Source organism: Homo sapiens, chromosome 12 (genome assembly GCF_000001405.40).
Source record: "Homo sapiens chromosome 12, GRCh38.p14 Primary Assembly".
NCBI classification, from domain to species: domain Eukaryota; kingdom Metazoa; phylum Chordata; class Mammalia; order Primates; family Hominidae; genus Homo; species Homo sapiens.
Window position 1 is genome coordinate 105,371,986 of NC_000012.12, and position 19,909 is coordinate 105,391,894.

At 44.4% G+C, this 19,909-nt stretch overlaps 1 long non-coding RNA gene across 5 annotated transcripts in view; it reads left to right on the top strand.

The window, feature by feature from the left end:
- Positions 1-128: 128 nt before the first annotated feature.
- Positions 129-19,909, top strand: part of LOC105369957 (uncharacterized) — a 40,769-nt gene continuing 20,988 nt past the window's right edge. Inside the window, exons 1-2 of one of the 5 annotated variants that reach the window (XR_945299.3) lie at positions 10,520-11,185; positions 16,123-16,204. This is a non-coding gene — a long non-coding RNA (uncharacterized LOC105369957). Of the gene's footprint in view, positions 483-6,767; positions 11,186-12,456; positions 16,205-19,909 lie in introns of those variants that run through there. The other 4 variants (XR_945300.3, XR_945302.3, XR_007063437.1 and 1 more) reach the window with 4 other exon arrangements.

The following is a 19,909-nucleotide window of genomic DNA, read 5'->3' on the forward strand; positions in this document are numbered from 1 at the left end:
ACAGGTGTGCACCACCACGCCTGACTAATTTTTTGTAATTTTAGTAGACACGGGGTTTCACCATGTTGGCCAGGCTGGTCTTGAACTCCTGACCTCAGGTGATTCACCTGCCTTGGCCTCCCAAAGTGCTGGGATTATAGGTGTGAGCCACTGCACCTGGCCAGATTGACTTTTAAAAAACTTTTAATTTTGAAAAAATTTTAGATCCATAGAAGCACATAAAGATTATATGAAGAGTTCCTGTATGCGCTTAACCCAGCTACTTCTGATGTTAATCTTGCATGACCACAGTACATTTGTCAGAAGAAATTAAACATAGGTACAATGTGATAAACTACAGCCTTTAATTAGATTACATCAGTTTTTCTACTAATGTCCTTTTTGTTTGTTTCAGGATCAAATCCAAGATTCCATTGCATTCTGTTGCACTTGATCATCCTGTTTCCTTATTCTCCATTTGTCTCCTTAGTCTCCCCTTCCTGGTACTTTCTTCGTCTTTCCTTGTTTTTCATGACCTTGACACTTTTTTAGCCTACTGATTACATATTTTGTAGTGCATTTAATTTGAATTTGTCTGTTCTCTTATGATTGGACTGGGGTTGTAGATTTTTAGGAAGAGATATTAGCTGGGTGTGGTGGCACACACCTATAGTCCCAGCTACTCAGGAGGCTGAGGTGGGAGGATTGCGTGAGCCCCGGAGTTTGAGATTGCAGTGAGCTGTGATCGCACCACTGCACTCCATCCTGGGCCACAGAACAAGACCCTGTCTCTGGAACAGAGATTGGTGGGAAGAGGACCACAGAGGTAAAGTGGCCCCCTCATTAGAGCATATCATTATATCTCATGATCTCAACATGACTTATTACTGCTGATATTGACCTTCATCACTTGACTAGGTGATATCTGGCAGCTTTCTCTTTGATAAAGTTTCAAGTTTTTTATTTATTTATTTATTTTTTTTTTTGGAGATGGGCTTGCTGTGTTGCCCAGGCTGGAGTGCAGTGGCACGATCACAGCTCACTGCAGCCTCAAACTCCTTGACTTAGGTGATCCTCTCGCCTCAGCCTTCTGAGTAGCTGGGACTAGAGGTGCATGCCACCACACCCAGCTAATTAAAATTTTTTTTGTAGAGGTGGGGTTTCGCTCTGTTGCCCAGGCTATTATTGAACTCCTGGCCTCAAACAATCCTCCTGCCTTGGCTTCCCAAAGTGCTAGGATTACAGGTGTGAGCTACAGCACCTGGCCTCTAGTTTTCCGTTTTCATCCCCTGCTCCTTATAAGTGATAAATGAACCACTAAGTTGAGACCACACTCAAGGACAGGGGAATCAAGCTTCACCTCCTGGAGAAAAGAGTATCAAGGAATTTTTGGACTCTTAAAGGCACCACGGTAATTAATAAGTAATTTGGAGAAGATAGTTTGAGACTCTGCAAATACCCTGTTTCTCCTTAGAGTTTTGCCCACTAATTTTCAGGTTCATCCTTGGCTGTTGTCTGCAGCATCTGTTATGTGGCATAAAAATGTGACTTTCTATTTCCCTCGTTCCTCTACCTGTATTATTTGGAATTCTTCTCTAAGGAACATTTGTCCATTTTTCCCCCATTTACTTATTCAGTCATTCATTTTCATCAGTATGGGCTTTTGGATATTTATTTTGTCTTTTAGGTTATAATCCAATACTCTTGCTATTTTGTTGCTCAAATTGTTCCAGCTTTGGCTTCTGGGAGCTTTTTCAGGTTGGCTCTGACATGCTCCATCCTGCCCCCCACCTCCACTGCCTCCACCTTTGGTTGATTTTTAGTAACAAACAGGCCTCTAAAATAAAAATCCAATTCAAAAGTTTGTTTAAAACACATTCCTAAAACTTCATCACTTTTCATCATAACTGGATAGTAATTTCCATATTGTGATAAGTCTTGGCATTTTTCTTCAACTAGACATTTTTAAAATTTAGAACCTTGTGATTCTTACTTGCCACCCACTTAACCTATATCTTAAAGCTAATGACTATAATTTTTAATAAGTACTGCAAGAAACTTGAGTGAAGAACTCAGAGAAGAATAAATAACATTAAAACATTTCAGAAGAAAAAGAGATGGGTAAAGCCTTAAAAATGCCTGATATTTAAGAGTTAATGCCTTTTCAAACAATATATGGTTTCTTCGCAAGATTATTATTGAAAAATACAATGAAGAGATGAGTTTCTGAGATTTTCTGATTGATAAGATTGTCTGAATAAAAAAGGTTTTCTTAAGAAACCTTCTAAGCTAGAAGGCACTCATTGCTAGACTCAGTTAAAGAAGACAGCTATAATTTAGTTTTGGAGACCTGCTTGGAACTCTGGAATGTAGAAAACTCTGGTTTTGACAAGTACAGCTGACTTCTGGGGTGCTATTGAAGAATGCTGGCCTGTTGGAAAGTGATCTGGACTAGGCTCTGGGGAGAGAGGCAAAATGATAGAAGGCACTAAGTTAATACAGTGGGGAGTTGCCTTTCTGGTTTTTTGAATTGTTAAAAGAGTTTGAAGAGGAAGAGAAAACAGGCTTAGTTTTGCAAATGGGAGCTAGTGTATCTGTACTGTATCCATGCCCAAGGGTGGGAAGAATTTCTGGTGTGGAAAAGTTATGTAAGGAACTCATTCCCAGGAAGATCGTTTGCATTTACTTATTTACATATACTTGATGCACCTGATCAATTCAAGCAGTACAGAAGGATGAGGTGCTTTTCGTAGATTTTGTCCCAGTACCCAGTTCTGATTTTCCGTTGTTTCTCAACCATCACCAGTTGAGTTCTTGCTGTGCCCCTGATGGGCAATGGTTACTGGGGTACAGCTGAAAGACCCGATCCATGCACTCAAGGCTCTTCACATGAGTGGTGGATACTCTGGGTAGCCTGTAAGGAACATCTAGAGCAGTGGCCGGGGCTGGTAGAGATTGCTTCGGGACCACAGAGCAGGGACGCCTAAGTCAGGATGGTGGACGAAGGAAGACTTCCCAGAGGGCAGTCCCTGGTGCAGAGCCATAGGGAAGGTGTGAGTTTGCCAGCATAGATCAAGGAAGAAAGCAGCTTCAGGCTGAGAACCACAGGTGCAGAGACACCTGGAACGCTCTTGGCATAACCTGGGAAATGCTAGGAGTTGAGCCTGGCTGGGTGGAAGGTGATGGTAATGGGATGGGAGAGGCAGGCAAGGTGAGCTTGCGTGGAGCCTGGAGGGTCACCTTTGAACTTCTGAAGCCTGTGAGAAGCCACTGGGGAATGAAGCTGTCATGGAGCTTAGGTGCTTAAGGGCCGTCATGACTGGTCTTAGTTTCCCCTCCAGTGCCTGGTTTGTGGGTCTGTCTCTCTAGTAGGCATGATAAGTACTTGCAGTACTTTCCATGTCTTATGAAGGTGTAGCTTTCCCATTTAATCTATAATATTATATAAACTACTTGGAATTTTCAGGTGCATCATGTCGGGGTAGATGTAGCCAGGCAATGAGTGTGTCAGGAACATTCCATTAGGGCAGGGCCATGCCTATCCCAGCAGCAGGTATAATCATCAGCTGCTTGGTTTAGGTTTGTGACAATGTTGGGGTTATCTTGTTGCTTCACGTATTTCTCCCATGTCTTTTTTTTTTTTTTTTTTTTTTGAGGTGGAGTCTCATTCTGTTGCCCAGGCTGGAGTGCAGTGGTGTGATCTCGGCTCACTGCAACCTCCACCTCCTGGGTTCAAGCAGTCCTCCCACCTCAGCCTCCCAGGTAGCTAGGATTACAGGCGTGCACCACCATGCCCAGCTAATTTTTTTATTTTTATTTTTAGTAGAGAGACGGGGTTTCACCATGTTGGCCAGGCTGGTCTCGAACTCCTGACCTCAAGCAATCCACCCACCTTGGCTTCCCAGGTAGCTGGGATCACAGGTGTACATCACCGTTCTCGGCTTCTTATGTCTTTTTTCACAAAACTATTCCATTAAGACAAATTTCTGGCTGGGTGTGGTGGCTCACGCCTATAATCCCAGCACTTTGGGAGACCAAGGCGGGCAGATCACGAGGTCAGGAGTTCGAGACCAGCCTGGCTAACATGGCAAAACCCTGTCTCTACTAAAAATAAAAAAAATTAGCCAGGTGTGGTGGCAAGTGCCTGTAGTCCCAGCTACTCGGGAGGCTGAGGCAGGAGAATCACTTGAACCCGGGAGGCCCGGGGTTGCAGTGAGCCGAGACTGTGCCATTGCACTCCAGCCTGGGTGACAGAGTGAGACTCTAGCTCAAAAAAAGAAAAAAAAAAAAAAAAAAGACAAATTTCTTTCTCCATTAGTGAAGTCTCTGACACTTAGATAATGTAGTACTCAATTATATAATTTGCTTCTTCTCCAAATATTTAATATTAAAATACTGCAGACTCCTTAGAAGGCAGGGTCTTTGTATATTCTTTTTTATTCTTGTAGTCAAGCCTCAGGGACCCACCGTGAAGAAAAGGCCTTGTATTTGTGTAAAAGTGAAATAATTTGTGACTTTCTCCCCAGACACAGACCTTTTGGGCATCTACAGTGTCATCTCTCTTAAGAGCAGCAGTATCTTTGGAATTATTTTTAGGGCCTTTGGGAAGTTAGTTGGCTTTTCTGTACCTCAGAAATTTTCAATGGGATAAAATGAATTCTAATTCTCTTCTAAGATGGTTAGCAGAATTCATTTATTCATATCTTTCACCAACAATTTTCCCTGAGTATCTGTTATATGCCTGGCATTGTTTTAGAGATTTGAGATGCAACAGTGAACAAATCAGAAAAAAGTTCCTGTCATCCTGGGGTTATGTTCTACAGAGGGAAGGCATAGCAAATGAATAAATAATATATATGTAATTGTTACAATAATACCAGAGAAGAGGAAATAGCCAGCTGGGAAGGTGGGCATTGCAATTTTCATCTTAAACAGAATGATCAGGGAATTACTCCCTGGAAAGATGTCCTGTGAAGGCAAAGACCTGAAGGAGAAGTAGCCACCCCTGCAGGTATCCAGCAGAAGATGTTCCAAGAAGGACAGGTTAAAATGCCTTATGCAAGAGTGTGTCTGGCTTATTTGCAGAAGAGCCAAGAATTTGGTGTGGCAGGGCAAAGATTGCAAATAGGAGAGTAATAGGAGAGGTCAAAGGGCTGCTGGGAGGGAGATTTGGAGGAAGATCTGATCTCTTGTAGACCATCAGATGTATTTCCCGGGTGGCTTTCACCTTGGGAAATCATCCAGCCCTTGAGTGGTTTGGAGGAGAGGAGTCATGTGATCTAAGCTCGAACCAAGTTTGTCAGGTGTCGGGTGAGGATGGGAGCAGGGGGATCCCTTGGGAGGCTGTTAGAATAGGAAGGAGGACAAGACTTTGGAACAGGGTGACAGTATTGGAAGTGGTCAGATTCTGGATAGATTTTGAAGATCGAGTGGACAGAATTTGTTGATGTGTTAGCTATGGGGTGCAAGAGTGGAAAAAGAATTAAGGAGTAATACAAAGATCTTGGCTGAACCGCTAGGAGAATAAGGTTGCCATTTGCTGAGATGGTGAAGACTGTGGGAGGAGTAGGTATGGGGCGTGGTCAGGTGACTTGGACACATTAAGTTTGAGATGCATCTTTGACTTTAAAGGGGAAGCATAGAATAGGAAGGCAAGATATCAGGAGAGAGGTCAGAGCTGAGGTATCATTTTTTGGTGTGCATGCATGGGTGTATATTTGGCTATCAATTAGGTAAAGAATATTTGCAGCCATAGGGCTGCTGGGACCTCCAGCAGAGTGAGTAGATGGAGAAGAGTTTGAAGAGCTAGGTCTGGCCACTCAGTGTTTAGACTCTGGAAGATGAAGTGTCAGTGCTGAAGTAGCCAGAAAAAGACAGAGAAAACCAAGGAGAGTCTGGTGTCCTCGAAAGCACATGCAAAGAGTGCTGAATGAGGTATTTAGCAAATGGGTAGAATAATCATACTCTCACAAGCACAGATTCCCATAGAAATGGAGCCAATGGGAGCAGAGAAGAGAGTCTGGGGATATTAATTTTGTATTAGGCAGATAGTCTATTAACAGAAACTCTCTCCTATTTAGGTCTGTTATAACTGTTGGCTTAGGTATATTTTTATAACTGATGTAGGTTCTGTTTGGAGCAAAGAATGAAATCTATAACCTGAACTTCCTAATTCTTTCCCTAAAGGTGGTATTTCTTGTGAGGGAGTGATATAAAGAGATTGTATCCTTTAGGAACAAATTATTTTCTGTCTATATAATAGCTTTAGTGTAGTTACAGCCATAAAATATGTCAATTGAGAGAGTGGAAGTGACAAGCAGAACATACCTTACTGAATATCAGAGCTTTAATATACCCACAATAGCCAGAGGAAGACTGGGACAGGAATGGATAGATGGATGGAACAGAAGAGGAAGCACATACATATACTATAAGTATAAATTTTGCATATGATTATGTCATACATTGGAATGTAAAGAAAGTTATTTTTTTAAATGGTGCTGGAAATAGTTAAATAGTTACATGGAGAAATGCCACATATTACGTACTATCCTATAAATACAATTGAGTGGATTTGAACATAAACGATAAAACCATAAAACTGAAGAAAATATTGGTGAATGGTTCTATCTGACCATTGGGAAACAGATTTATGTGAATGGCACATGAGGCTGATTTTATAAAGTAAAATATTGGTAGACCTGATGATGGAAAAACACGAGAACATCTGTGTATGTGTGTGTGTGTATATATATATATATATATATATATATATATATATATATATATATATATATATATATATAAAGCCTGGAAACATATAAAAGGCAAATGGCTGGGAAACAAGGGAACGTTTGTGACGGACAAAGAGGTAATGTGCTTTGTAAAGAGCTCTTAGATGAAGGGCCTAAGAGACTTACTAACAAAGGAACTAAAAAGACAATTTGTAAAAGGAATATAAATGGCCATGAGTCATAGGAGGGAATTGAGTGTCATTAAAGTCAAATGATTGGGAATAAAAAATGAGAGACAGTTTTCACCCATCAATTGAAACTGCCCACTGCCCTCCTGTGGCTGTCAGCTGGACCGCGGGGGCTGCTGGTCCATGAGGACTTCTGTTCTTGGTCACTGTGACCGACATGATTCCTTGATGATTTCCACACCCACATGCAGGAACCATGCGGTGCCCTGGCCTCCCAGCTCTTTGACCTTTCCCTTCTCCAGTGAACTTGTTCTCCACCAAGCCCCTGACATCTGCTCCCATCCTGACACCCAGCGTTATTATCCATAACTACAGCTTCTCTCAAGGGCAGTTTCTAAGATCCCACACTCCGGCCGCTATCTCCTCTCTTTCCATCTCTGACTCCAGCCATCTTTTGGCCTTGGGGGCCACTCATTGCTGTTTTCACTGCTAGCCTTTCCTGTCCCTCCTTCCTCAGCTTAAACACCAAGGTCGCTCAGTGTCATCCCTCCTTTGCCTCCCTCTCTTTTGTAATCACTTGCCTGACTACAACCCTGGTTGAAGCCATGTCACTGCATGCATGTGCCCTGGTGATATGGCTGCATAGACAACCACACAGACAGGGACTTCCAGTGGGTCCATAATGCTGCCGGGGCACCACCCTCTATTTCCTGAGCCCATTCATTCTTTCTTTCCTTAGATGACTATTTCCTATCTTCTAGCTTTTCCTCAAACCTCCAACACATCCTCTCATCCTCACTCTCAGCTGTCACCCTTGCTTCCTATCTCACTAACAATGTAGAAACAATGTAGAAACAATCGGCCGGGCGCGGTGGCTCACGCCTGTAATCCCAGCACTTTGGGAGGCCGAGGCGGGCGGATCACGAGGTCAGGAGATCGAGACCATCCTGGCTAACACGGTGAAACCCTGTCTCTACTAAAAATACAAAAAATTAGCCGGGCGAGGTGGCGGGCCCCTGTAGTCCCAGCTACTCCGGAGGCTGAGGCAGGAGAATGGCGTGAACCCCAGGGGGCGGAGCCTGCAGTGAGCCGAGATTGCGCCACTGCACTCCAGCCTGGGCGACAGCGAGACTCCGTCTCAAAAAAAAAAAAAAAAAAAAAAAAAAAAAAAAAAAGAAACAATCGAGCTTCCCCCACGATGGGTACCATTGCTCCCCCTTTCCCGCATTGCATCCCATCCTCTTGCACCCAACCAAGCACTTTGCCCCAACAATTCTCCAACCAGTTCTTCCCGCCTACAGGATTATTTCCATCATCATACAAACATTATTTTATTTCTCCCGTCCTAAAAAAAGAACCGTCTCTCGATCAAATGCCCCTTTCTCTCCTTCCTTTGCCATCAGAGCTCCTAATAAGATTAGTCTATAATCACTGTCTCCACTTTCTCTCTTGAACCTACTCCAGTCAGGTCTTTGCTCCTCTCATTCCACTAAGACTGGTTCTCATGGGCACCAGTGGCCTCCTTATTGCTAATCTAATGGTCAATTCTTAGTCTTCATCTTAATCCTGATCCCTCCAGCCTCCCTGAGACTTCTCCACTTGGCTTCTGGGTCACCGCATTCTCTTGATTGTTTTCTTGCCTCTCTGTCTGCTCGTCCTCAGTATCCTTTGCTGATTCCTTCTGGCATCCAAACCTCTGAACACAGGCGTGCCCACAGCCTTCATCTTTGGACAGATCCTCTTTTCTGTCCATTCTATGTGCTGTTAATTCCTGTGTGCCCTCAGCCTTGACCTCTCCCTAAGCTTCAGTCCTCTATCCAACTGTCTACTTGGTGTCTCTACTAGGATGTCTTAAACCGTATCTCATATTAATAAGCTCATATCTGAGGTCTTGATCTCCACCCTCTACCCCTGTTCTGTTTTGTTCCTTTGCCAACTTCTCCAACTTAGTAAATGGCAACTTCATTCTCCAAGCTGCTCAGGTCAAAAAGCTGGGACTCACCCTGACTCTTTCTTAGCTCTCCCCCATCCCCGAATCAGCAAATCCTGTAGGTGCACGTGCCACCTTCACGTCTCTAGATTTCAATCTCTTCTCACCATCCCCATCACGTCTATTCCATTGCCACCATCATCTCCATCCTAGATTACGGCACTAGCCTCCTTCGTTCCTTAGCCCACCTCAGCCTGTTCTGAACACAGCAGCGAGAGGGATCTTGTTAAATTCCAAGTCAAACCCTCCAGTGCTCCCCTTCTCTTCCAGGGAAAGTTGAATTCCACACGGTCCTCCATAACACATCTATCTCCTCCTCCCCTTCTGATTTCGGTTACTCCTCTGACATCACTTACACACATTACTCTTCTCCTCTCTGCCTTTCTTCGGCCACACTGATTTTGCTTTACCTCGAACTTGCCAACCAGGCTCTCATCTCACACCTTCTCACTTGCCGATCCCTCATGTCTGCAATCTTGTCCTCCAGATATTTGCACGCCATCTCCCTATTTAGCACTTTACTCATATCTCCCCAGTAAGCCCTTCTCTGCCCACCCCATCTAAAATTCACGCCCCTTTCACCCAACACTTCCAGTTGTTATTGCTAGATTTATTTTTCTCATTAGCATTTACAATGAACATGCTGCATACTTTACTGATTTCCCTTGTTTACTGACAGCCTCCTGCACAAGAATGGAAACTCCAGGAAGCAGGAATTCCTTATCTCACTTGCTCATTGCTGTATCTCAGCACCCAGCCCAGAGCCTACCACCTAGTAAATGCCTAATAAGTATTTTTTTGAGTGACAAGATACTAAATATGATAATTCGCAGCCTTGGCATGAATGTGGCCAAATGGTCACTCTCATCTTTGCTTGGAAGTTTCAATTACTAAAACCTTTCTAGAGAGCAGTTTGGCAATTTGAATCAAGAACATTTAAGGCCAGGTGCGTTGGCTCATTCATGTAATCCCAGCACTTTGAGAGGCCGAGGCGGGCAGATCACTTGAGCTCAGGAATTTGAGACCAGCCTGGGCAACATGGGAAAACCTGGTCTCTACAAAAAATACAAAAAGTAGCCTGGTGTGGTGGCTCTTATCTGTAGTTCCAGCTACTCAGGAGGCTAAGGTGGGAGGATTGCTTGAGCCTGGGAGGTCGAGGCTGCAGTGAGCCATGCTCGCGTCACTGCACTCCAGCCTGGGCGACCCTGTCTCAAAAAAAGTGTGTGTGTGTGTGTGTGTGTGTGTGTGTGTGTGTATAATGAGATGTAGAGACTTACAAAAGGAATGTTCATCAAAGTTGCTTATAGTAAAGGGGAGTTGGAAACCATATAGTGTCCAACAATAAAGGGCTGCTTAAAAATTATGAATCAGCTATACAAAGGAATATTGTAGAGTCATCAAAATTATACTTTTATGCGTAATTTAATGGGAAAATGTGCATTGTCTATTTCACAAAACAAAGATATTAAATTTTGTATAGAATTATCCCAGATATATATGAATGTGTGTATATATGTATACATGTGTACATATATATGTATACACATGTACATATATATACACATGTACATATATATGTATACACATGTACATATATACACACATGTACATATATGTATATATACACACGTACATATATGTATATTTGTATACACATGTACATATATACACACAAATATAGTATATCTATAAGAGAGACAGGAAATACTGGCTTTCTGTTTGTGATGAAATGCAAATTCCTTATGTATTTTTCCAAAATGTTTAAAATGAGGCTTTTGTAATCAGAAGTATATAAGCCCCCTTCCCCCAAAGAAAATGATTATTCTACTGCCCGTCTTGACTGTATTCTTACTTGGGGGCAGGGTGGGTGGCGTGAACAGGGAGAGCTAATCTCTCCTTCTTTCTGACTCATTCCACAGTCAATCCTTTTTCTTATTATTTTCCAAAGGCATGAGGACCTTCCATGTTCCGAAACCATTGTCCAGAGTATTTCTTCTGGACTATTTTCCACTTCCTTCCATCTGACCGGCCAGCTGTTCTGCATTTGTAAAAGCTGGTTTCTGATGTCATCTCTAGGCAGGACCGCTCCCTCCCTCTCCTGCACTCCTATACTTCGTGGCATATCCGCCCCAAGATAACACTTGTCACTCTGTTTTCCAAATTCAGTTTCATTCATTTGCTTCACATGTGCACTGAGCCCACTGACTTCTTTCCCTGTCTGTTGCCAGCACTGGAGACCAAGCCTGCACGCTTTGGCCCAGACCATCTCATTCACCTTTTAACACAGAATCAGGGTGAGTGGAGAGTGGGGGAGTGGTGTGGTGGGTCTTTGCCTCTCGCTGTTCAGTGAACTTCATGCCTGTCCTCCTGATCCCCAGCGCTAACACAGGGTCAGGCTCGCGGGAGTGAACAACCACCATTTATCTCCGGCTTGTTGGGGGAAGCCCTTTCATTTACTTGACAGTTTACCTGTCAATTTTACGTGCGTGGTCATTTTTAATCCTCTGCACTTTCAGGTAATAGGAAAATAATTTGAATCAAGTTCTTCCTTCACCATTGGCGTAAAATCGGTGATTAAACTTTTAATATTTAACGTCTTAAAAAAAATTCCCCGGGCTAGCGTCATGCCTAAGTAATGCATGCATCTACTTCCCCCTGGTGGACTCATCTTCTAATAGCAGCTTTGTTTTCCCCCCTTTATTATTGGCAGGAGTAATCCATCTCTCACTTTCCTTAACACAGATATTCATGGATTGCAGGATTCAGCAGTGTCTTCATAATAGCAGGAAGTTTATGTTCTGGCTTTGCCACTTACTAGCTGTGTAACTTGGGCAATTTACTTAACTTCTCTGCGTCTCGGTTTCTTAACCTGTAAAATGGAGACAGTATCAATAATAAAATATTAAAAACGAATACATATCAAGTGCTTACTACATGGCATGTATGAACTCATTAAATTTCTACAAAAATCCTATTACATAAGATTTAAAATGTCCTGGCCGGGCACGGTGGCTCACGCCTGTAATCCCAGCACTTTGGGAGGCCGAGGCAGGCGGATCACGAGGTCAGGAGATCGAGACCATCCTGGCTAACATGGTGAAACCCCATCTCTACTAAAAAATACAAAAAATTAGCCGGACGTGGTGGCGGACGCCTGTAGTCCCAGCTAATCGGGAGGCTGAGGCAGGAGAATGGCATGAACCCGGGAGGCAGAGCTTGCAGTGAGCCGAGATCGCGCCACTGCACTCCAGCCTGGGCGACAAAGCAAGACTCTGTCTCAAAAAAAAAAAAAAAAAAATTTAAAATGTCCTATAAAATGGGAACAAATAGCCTGAGCAACATGGTGAAACCCCATCTCCAAAAAATACAAAAACATTAGCCAGGCATGGTGGCGCACGCCTGTAGTCCCAGCTACTTGGGAGGCTGAGATGGGAGTCCAGGGAGGTCAAGGCTGCAGCGAGCTGTGATCGTGCCACTGCACTCCAGCCTGCTGGACAGAGTGAGACCCTGTCTCAGGAAATAAATAAATAAATAAATAAATAAATAAATAAATAAATAAATTAAAATAAAATGGAAACAAATATTCTTTCCATTTTACAAATAAGAGAATCAAGAACTAGAGAAAAATAGTTCCTACTTCTTAGAGAAGTGTGAGAATCACATGAATTAATGCAGGGAGGATGGTTAGAGAGGGCCTGGCACATAGCGAGTGTCCCCTAACCTCATCGTCATTGTTAGTGTTACAGGATTGGTTCTGTGATGAAGACATTGCCATGGGCCATGTGGATCCTTGTTTACACTTGAGCTACTCTCATTTTCAACAGGCATCAATCACTTGCATGACAAAATATACACTATATCAAACAATGAGCTATGCTTATGTATTCATAGTTTTCTAGACACTTCTTAAGTCAGGGCATAAGTCTTCATTTCTCCAGAGGCTAATGGAAGGTCAGCCCATAGCCCATTTCACTCTTGAGTGTACTGGGGAGATCCTGGGAGAGGGGAAGGAAGAGTAAATGGGCAGATTGAGTATTTATATTAGGATGCAGCTGTCTAGAGGTAACCAGGGTCCCCATATATCTTCCCCACATTTTCCCAGGTCTGAGCATGAGCAGTGGGGATGAGGAACTGGGCTGGCACCCACAGCTATCCATGTAGCTTATTAAGCTGCTCATTTCCTCATGCATCTACGCCCTGAGCCCCTAAGTGTCTTGCACTGTTTGAAGTGCTGGCCTCTTGCTCAGCACTTCCATACAAAGTCCATCATGCTGCTGGATGCCAACAGAAATGAAAGAATCAGGGACACAGATGAAGACGAGAGCATGACCAATGTGTGGATTTTCTTGTAGACAAATTCTTTACATTTGCTATGGTCTGAATGCTTGTGTGCTCCCCGCCACCCCAATTCATGTGTTGAAATCCTAACCACGAACTCGATGGTATTCAGAGGTGGGGCCTTTGGGAAGTGATTAGGTCATAGGGATTCAGGCCCTTAGGAAAGAGGCCTGAAGGAGCTTGGTCATCCCTTCTACCAAGTGAGGACACAGCAAGAAGTTGTCCTCTGTGAACCCGGAAAGGGGCCCTCACCAGACATTGAATCTGCCAGTTCCTTGATCTTGAACTTCTCAGGCTCCAGGACTGTGAGAAATATGTTTTTTTGTTATTTGTAAGCCACCCAGTCTATGATACTGTGTTATAGCAGCCTGCAAGGACTAGGACAACATTGCATTTAAAAAAATAAAGTATACGTATTGTGTTAAGAAATGCAATAGGCTGGGTGTGGTGGCTCACGCCTGTAATCTCAACACTCTGGGAAGCTGAGGCAGGTGGGTCGCCTAGGAATTTGAGACCAGCCTTGGCAACATGGCGAAAAATTAGCCGGGTCTGGTGGTGTGCACCTGTAGTCCTAGCTACCAGGGAGGCTGAAGCGAGAGGATCTTCTGAGTCTGGGAGGTTGAGGCTGCAGTGAGCCAAGATTGGACCATTGCACTGCAGCCTGGGGGACAGAGTGAGACCCTCTCTCAAACAAACAAACAAACTCCAAAAAAGCAAAAAAAACAAAAACAAAAACAAAAAAACCCCCAAACCAATAAAAAGAAATGCAATAGTGTGAATATTTTTGAACTCTCACAACTTGATTAAAAGGCTAATCATGCAAAATAAAATATTGAACTTCTAACAAATTAAATTTAAATAATCAAGTCCAATATGAATGGAAATTATTGGGGGTGGGAGGGAGTACATTTTGGGGATTGATTATTATTATTTTTTTAACAAATAGAGCACTAGAAGCCAGTGCATAGAAAGCCGATGAAATATGAAATAACCTTCTAGGGAATGGCTAGGTCACTGGGTGCTCCATGGAAAGTCGAGCTTGGTGCGGACTCTAATTTGAAGATGAGTAGTGCAGTGACAGCACAGGCTGCTTCATGGAAAACAGGCAGCTGCCCCCACGTGTCCTTCACCTAAAAGCACCAGTTCTCTCTAACATTGATGCTGTGGAGGTGCACACAGGGCACAGTGGAGGTTGTCATGTAATTCATTGCCATTTACCTTTCTGCTGAGCATAGAATGGAATCTCATCCATGCTCATTTAACTTACTGATGGCATTAGAAGCCCCAGATTTATTTGTTTCCTTCTTTCCTTCCTTCCTTCCTTCCTTCTCTTTTTCTTTTTGCTTCTTTCTTTTTTGTTTCTTTCTTTTTCTTTTTCTTCTTTCTTTCTTTCTCTCTCTCTCTCTCCCTCCCCTTTCCTTCCTTCCTTCCTTCTTTCCTTCCTTCCTTCCTTTCTCTTCTCTTCTCTTTTTCTCTTTTCTTTTCTTTCCTTCTTTCTTTTTCTTTCTTTCTGTCTTTCCGACGCGGACTCACTTTGTCACCCAGGCTGGAATGCAGTGGCATGATCATAGCCCACTGCAGTCTCCAACTCCTGGGTTCAAGTAATCCTCCTGTCTCAGGCTCCCAAGTAGCTGGGACTACAGGCACATGCCACCACACCTGGCTATTTTTATTCTTTTGTAGAGACAAGTTCTCACTATGTTGCCCAGGCTGGTCTTAAACTCCTGGGCTCAAGTGATCCTCCTGTCTCAGCCTCCCAAAGTGCTGGGATTACAGGCGTGAGTCACCACGTGCAGCCTAATTGAGTTATTTATTGGTTTTGAGAGCAACGCCCAAAGGCCCAAGAAATGATAACTCATTCAGTGAAGGCTTCAACATGAAATGCCAACTTGAAAAAACAGAAAACAAGTTGCTTAATTTCTCCTCCACAACTTGAAAAAGAGCAGTGCAAGATGTTGACTTAGAGGAAAATTCATCATGCAAGATTTAGAGGAAAATTCAGCAAACACTTATTGAGCACTTACTATTTAGGCCAGGCCTGTGTTAGATCCTTCCTATATAGTATCTCATTTAATCCTTAAAGCCACAGAGAAATTAAAACTATAGAGATTATTATACTATAACAAGGTTAACCCTCTAGGCAACAGCTTGGGATTTTCCATGTATGCCTGTTTACTGCTAGAGAATTTAATTTGGAGACAAAATGATTTTAATGCCCTCGCACCTGTAGGAATACTTTCCTTTCTCTTCCTTCTGTTGGAATGTGAAGAGGCCCAAGAAAATATTACTCTTCCTTGCCAAGTTCTGAACGAGTTGAGAAATAGGACAAAAGAGTAAGGCAAATGGAAGAGCAAGATGTCACCTTTGTTGCTGATGAAGCTGATTTTTGGAGATTGTGCCTTTTTTTTCTGTGGGTAAGCAGATTTCCTACTACCGAACCCCAGAGTTAGAAATACCCAGCCACCAGCAGTGTGGGGCCACCCTGGGCCTCTGCACACACAGGACTATGCCCGGAAGACCCTCAGTGTGTGTGTGTGTGTGTGTGGTGGTAGGGCATGGGGAGGAGAATGTGTATTTCCTGCAGGCAGTCAGCTCCCAAGGAGAAAGGGAGTAAAGGGGCTGGGCTATCCTGGTGCAATGCCTACTCTCAGCAGAGTTGGCTAGCACCGGCTTGTGCATATCTCAGCTCCAGGTTCAGTGACCTTCTCAGCTACCTTGTCGGTAGCTTGGTACCGACATTTCAGCCCTGCTGAAATGGGTATCTTTACACTACAGAAGTTATCAAATGCTGCAAATTGAAACTTTTGCCCCAGAGAACCAATTGTTGAACATTTACCTGCACACCACCGGCTGCTCCCAAAATTTCCAACCAGAGATCTTTCTTCTTCCCCAGCAAAAAAGTGAATGAGAGGGGTGGAAAAAGGGTGGAGCCGGAGCTGAGAAGAAGAGTTAGCATCACCACGGTCTTCCTCCAGGTGAAGTAGAGTTACATCTTTATTGGTGATTCTCAAGACCAAGGCCATGAAAATGACCCCTCCAGCTAGGGCTCTGTTCTCTGTTTCCCTTTACAGCAAAGCTCCTCAAAGGGTTGCCTACACTGTCTGGTTTTTTTTTTTTTTTTTTTTTTTTTTTTAGACAGAGTCTCTCTCTGTTGCCCAGGCTAGGGTGCAGTGGTGCCATCTTCGTTCACTGCAACCTCCGCCTCCAGGGTTCAAGCGATTCTTCTGCCTTAGCCTCCTGAGCAGCTGGGATTACAGGTGCGCGCCACCACGCCCAGCTAATTTTTTTGTATTTTTAGTAGAGACAGGGTTTCATCATGTTGGTCTGGCTGGTCTTGAACTCCTGACCTCGTGATCTGCCTCCCTCAGCTTCCCAAAGTGCTTGGATTATAGGCATGAGCCACTGCCCGGCCCACATTCTGTTTTTAAATGTTTTCTTTGAGTCAGACCATTAATGGGATAAGGGTGATAAAGCCGCTTACCCTACTGGGAAGCACTGGGAAGTTGCAGGCTCAGGATGCATGCGTGATCCCTTTGTGACAAGGATGCATACTCCTTTTGGAGAAGCATGAAGAAGTGGAGACCATCGTCCTCTGACCACTACCACTCATGGTCCTTGAATTCTGCATGCTCATCACACTGTTGAGGACGATGGCTATGGGGTTCCCTAAAGCTTTACCTTCCAGGGACATTTTGTTTCCAGACATCCCAGTGATAGTGCAGAGGCTGGATTTACGCACATAAGAACATGCACTGTCAGAGCCTGATCCTCTTTTTTAACTGTATTCTCTTGACTTGAGATCCAACCATGCCAGAAAATTCATCCTTAATTTTCATTTCCTTGAGTGTTTGGCTGCCTCAGACCACTCCTGATACTGATTACTGTAACAGGGCTCTTGTTGAAACAGCAGAATCCATTTTAACCAATTTTAGCAGAAAAATGCATGTTTGAAAGGATATTAGAAAGTGCAAGAATCTCGGGGGTGAGGGAGAAGGAAGGCAGAGAGTGTCAGGCTCTGAGGCTATTTCAGCCAGAAGCAAGACCCAACCCATCCCACAGGACCGCCCCAGTGAAGACCCCACTGTTGCTGCTGCTGCCGCTGTGCTCAGCACAGACCCTGCTTTTCCCACTCATGATTCTGGGATTGCATAGCTGAGGCTCTGCCATCGCACCAATGCCCCACTCCTTCTAGCACCCCTATCCTCACTTTGTGTGCTTGGAATACATGCATCTATTTGATGGAGTCTATGTCACATGGCTGCTCCAGCTGCAAGGGTGGCTGCCAGGTGGAGTTTTGGCCCTCTCCCCTGGAGAGGAGGGAGGGACTCATAATGCCGTACTTTCTCCAGTATAAGAGGGATGGTCCCAACATGACACATGTCCACTGCCCTTTCCAAATCCCACTTCTCACCACTTGGCCTTTCCCTCCACAATGCTTCAGTCATTGTGAGTGGCTTGGAGGCTATGCGATTTCTTGTCACCAAACCTTTAAACAATCCTCTCTCTTTGCCTGGGATGCTCGGCTCACCCCGCTATGGCAGAGGCATCCTCAGGCTCAGCTGACACCTTTTCCGGGAGGCCTGCCCTGGCCCCGCAGAAGCCAAGATGGAATCATCACAGAGACATGCATGGACTCTCATGGAGCCCCAGAAGCAAAGTGCTCCCCCTCTGCAGGAACTCCCCAATGGATCTCCTGCCCATTCTTTTTTGCTCTTCCTTCAGGCCCTCGTGCTGGTTGCTATTATTTCCATTTTTTCTTGTTCATGTCTCAGTGAAGAAGAATCACTTTTATTTATTTATTTAGAGACAGGGTCTGATTCTGTTGCCCAGCTGGAGTGCAGTGGCATGATCATAGCTCACTGCAGCCTCAAACTCCCAGGCTCAAGCAATCCTCCCGCCTCAGCCTCCCAAGTAGCTGGGACCACAGGCATGCACCACCATGCCCAGCTAATTTTTAAATTTTTGTGCAGATGGGGTCTCACCATGTTGCCCAGGCTGGTCTCAAACTCCTGGGCTCAAGTCATCCTTCTGCCTTGGCCTCTCAAAAGTGCTGGTATTACAGGTGCAAGCCCCGGTGCCCGGCCAGAAAAATCACTTTTAAAAACAATGTAGAGGCCAAGTGCAGTGGCTCACACCTGTAATCCCAGCACTTTGGGAGGCTGAGGCAGAAGGATCGAGTGGGCCCAGGAATTCAAGACCAGCCTGGTGGCAATATAGTGAGACCCTGTCTCTACAAAAATGTAAAACTTAGCTGGGCATTGTGGTGTGCACCTGTGGTCCCAGCTACTCAGGAGGCTGAGGTGGGAGGATTGCTTAAGCCTGGGAGTTCCAGGCTGCAGTGAGCTATGATCTAGCGACTGCACTCCAGTCTGGGCAACAGAGTGAGACCTTGTCTCTAAAAACAACAACGATAACAACAAACAATCTGGAATTTTATGTGACAGCAACACACACCTATTCCAGCTTCAAAGGCTTTGGTGAAGAGTCAAATTGTTTCTCAGGAGTGTATGAAGTACTCAGCACAATAGCACCATATTAGGCCGTTCTTTGCGTTGCTCTAAAGAAGTAGCTGAGACTAGGTAATTTTTAAAGAAAAGAGGTTTAATTGTCCCATGGTTCTGCAGGCTCTACTAGGATGGCTCCAGCACCTGCTTCTGGCGTGACCTCAGAAAGCTTACAACCATGGCGGAAGACAAGGTGGGAGCAGGTCACCTGATGAGAGGAGAAGCAAGAAAGAGGGTAGAGAGGTGTCACACACTTTTAAAGTGCCAGATCTCGCCAGAGCTCACTCACTATCATGAGGAGATGGCACCAAGCCATTCACGAGCTATCTGCCCCCATGACCCAAAGACCTCCCACCAGGCCCCACCTCAAACATTGGACATTACTCTTTGACATGAAATTTGGAGGAGATAAGCATCCACATCGTATCAAGCACTTAGATCTTTATAGCTGGAAATCCACGAGGCTATGGCCTATGTGTGGGAGTGGGGGTTGTGGGGTGGGCAATTAGGCAATGGAAATGTGGTGGGACAGGGGAGACAGGGAGAGGGAGATGGAGAGGGAGAGGGAGAGGGAAGGAAGCCAGGCTCTGCTGAGATGCTATGGGCAGGAGTAGCTCCCGATGTTGGAGCTCAGCTTGGAAGGCCTCTAGGGCTGCTCTGTTTACTATGCTGAGCTGCTGTGAATTCTCCTAACATCTGCAAAATTTCACCATATGACACTCCTATCTCCTTGATCCCACTCATACAGAACCATTTATTTCATAGTCTTTTTCACTAAGCACAGAGATACCCTTTGATGTTTGTTAACACTGCCATGTTTCAAAAGAGGAAACTGAGATACAGGAGAGCAATGCACTTGCCTCAAGGCCTCTCATCCATTGGCAGGTTCAGCCCACACCTTTACTGAACATCTACAAAGAGTCAGGCCGTAAGGACTGGTAGGTTGTGCGATGGGTCTTGAACCCAGGTCTGTACAACTTCAAAGCCTTTCCGCTATAGCAAGGCAGCATACAGCAGAGATCTAACTGGCAAAGGAGTGGTTAATAACACAAAGAAAGAGAGAGAAGAGGAAATGAGAGGGAAGAAGAGAAAAAAGGAGAGATGAAAGAAATGAGCAGTTGAGAGGTTGCAGATTGGTGGCATTCATGTCGAATATGGCTGCTGGGGTTTTTGGAG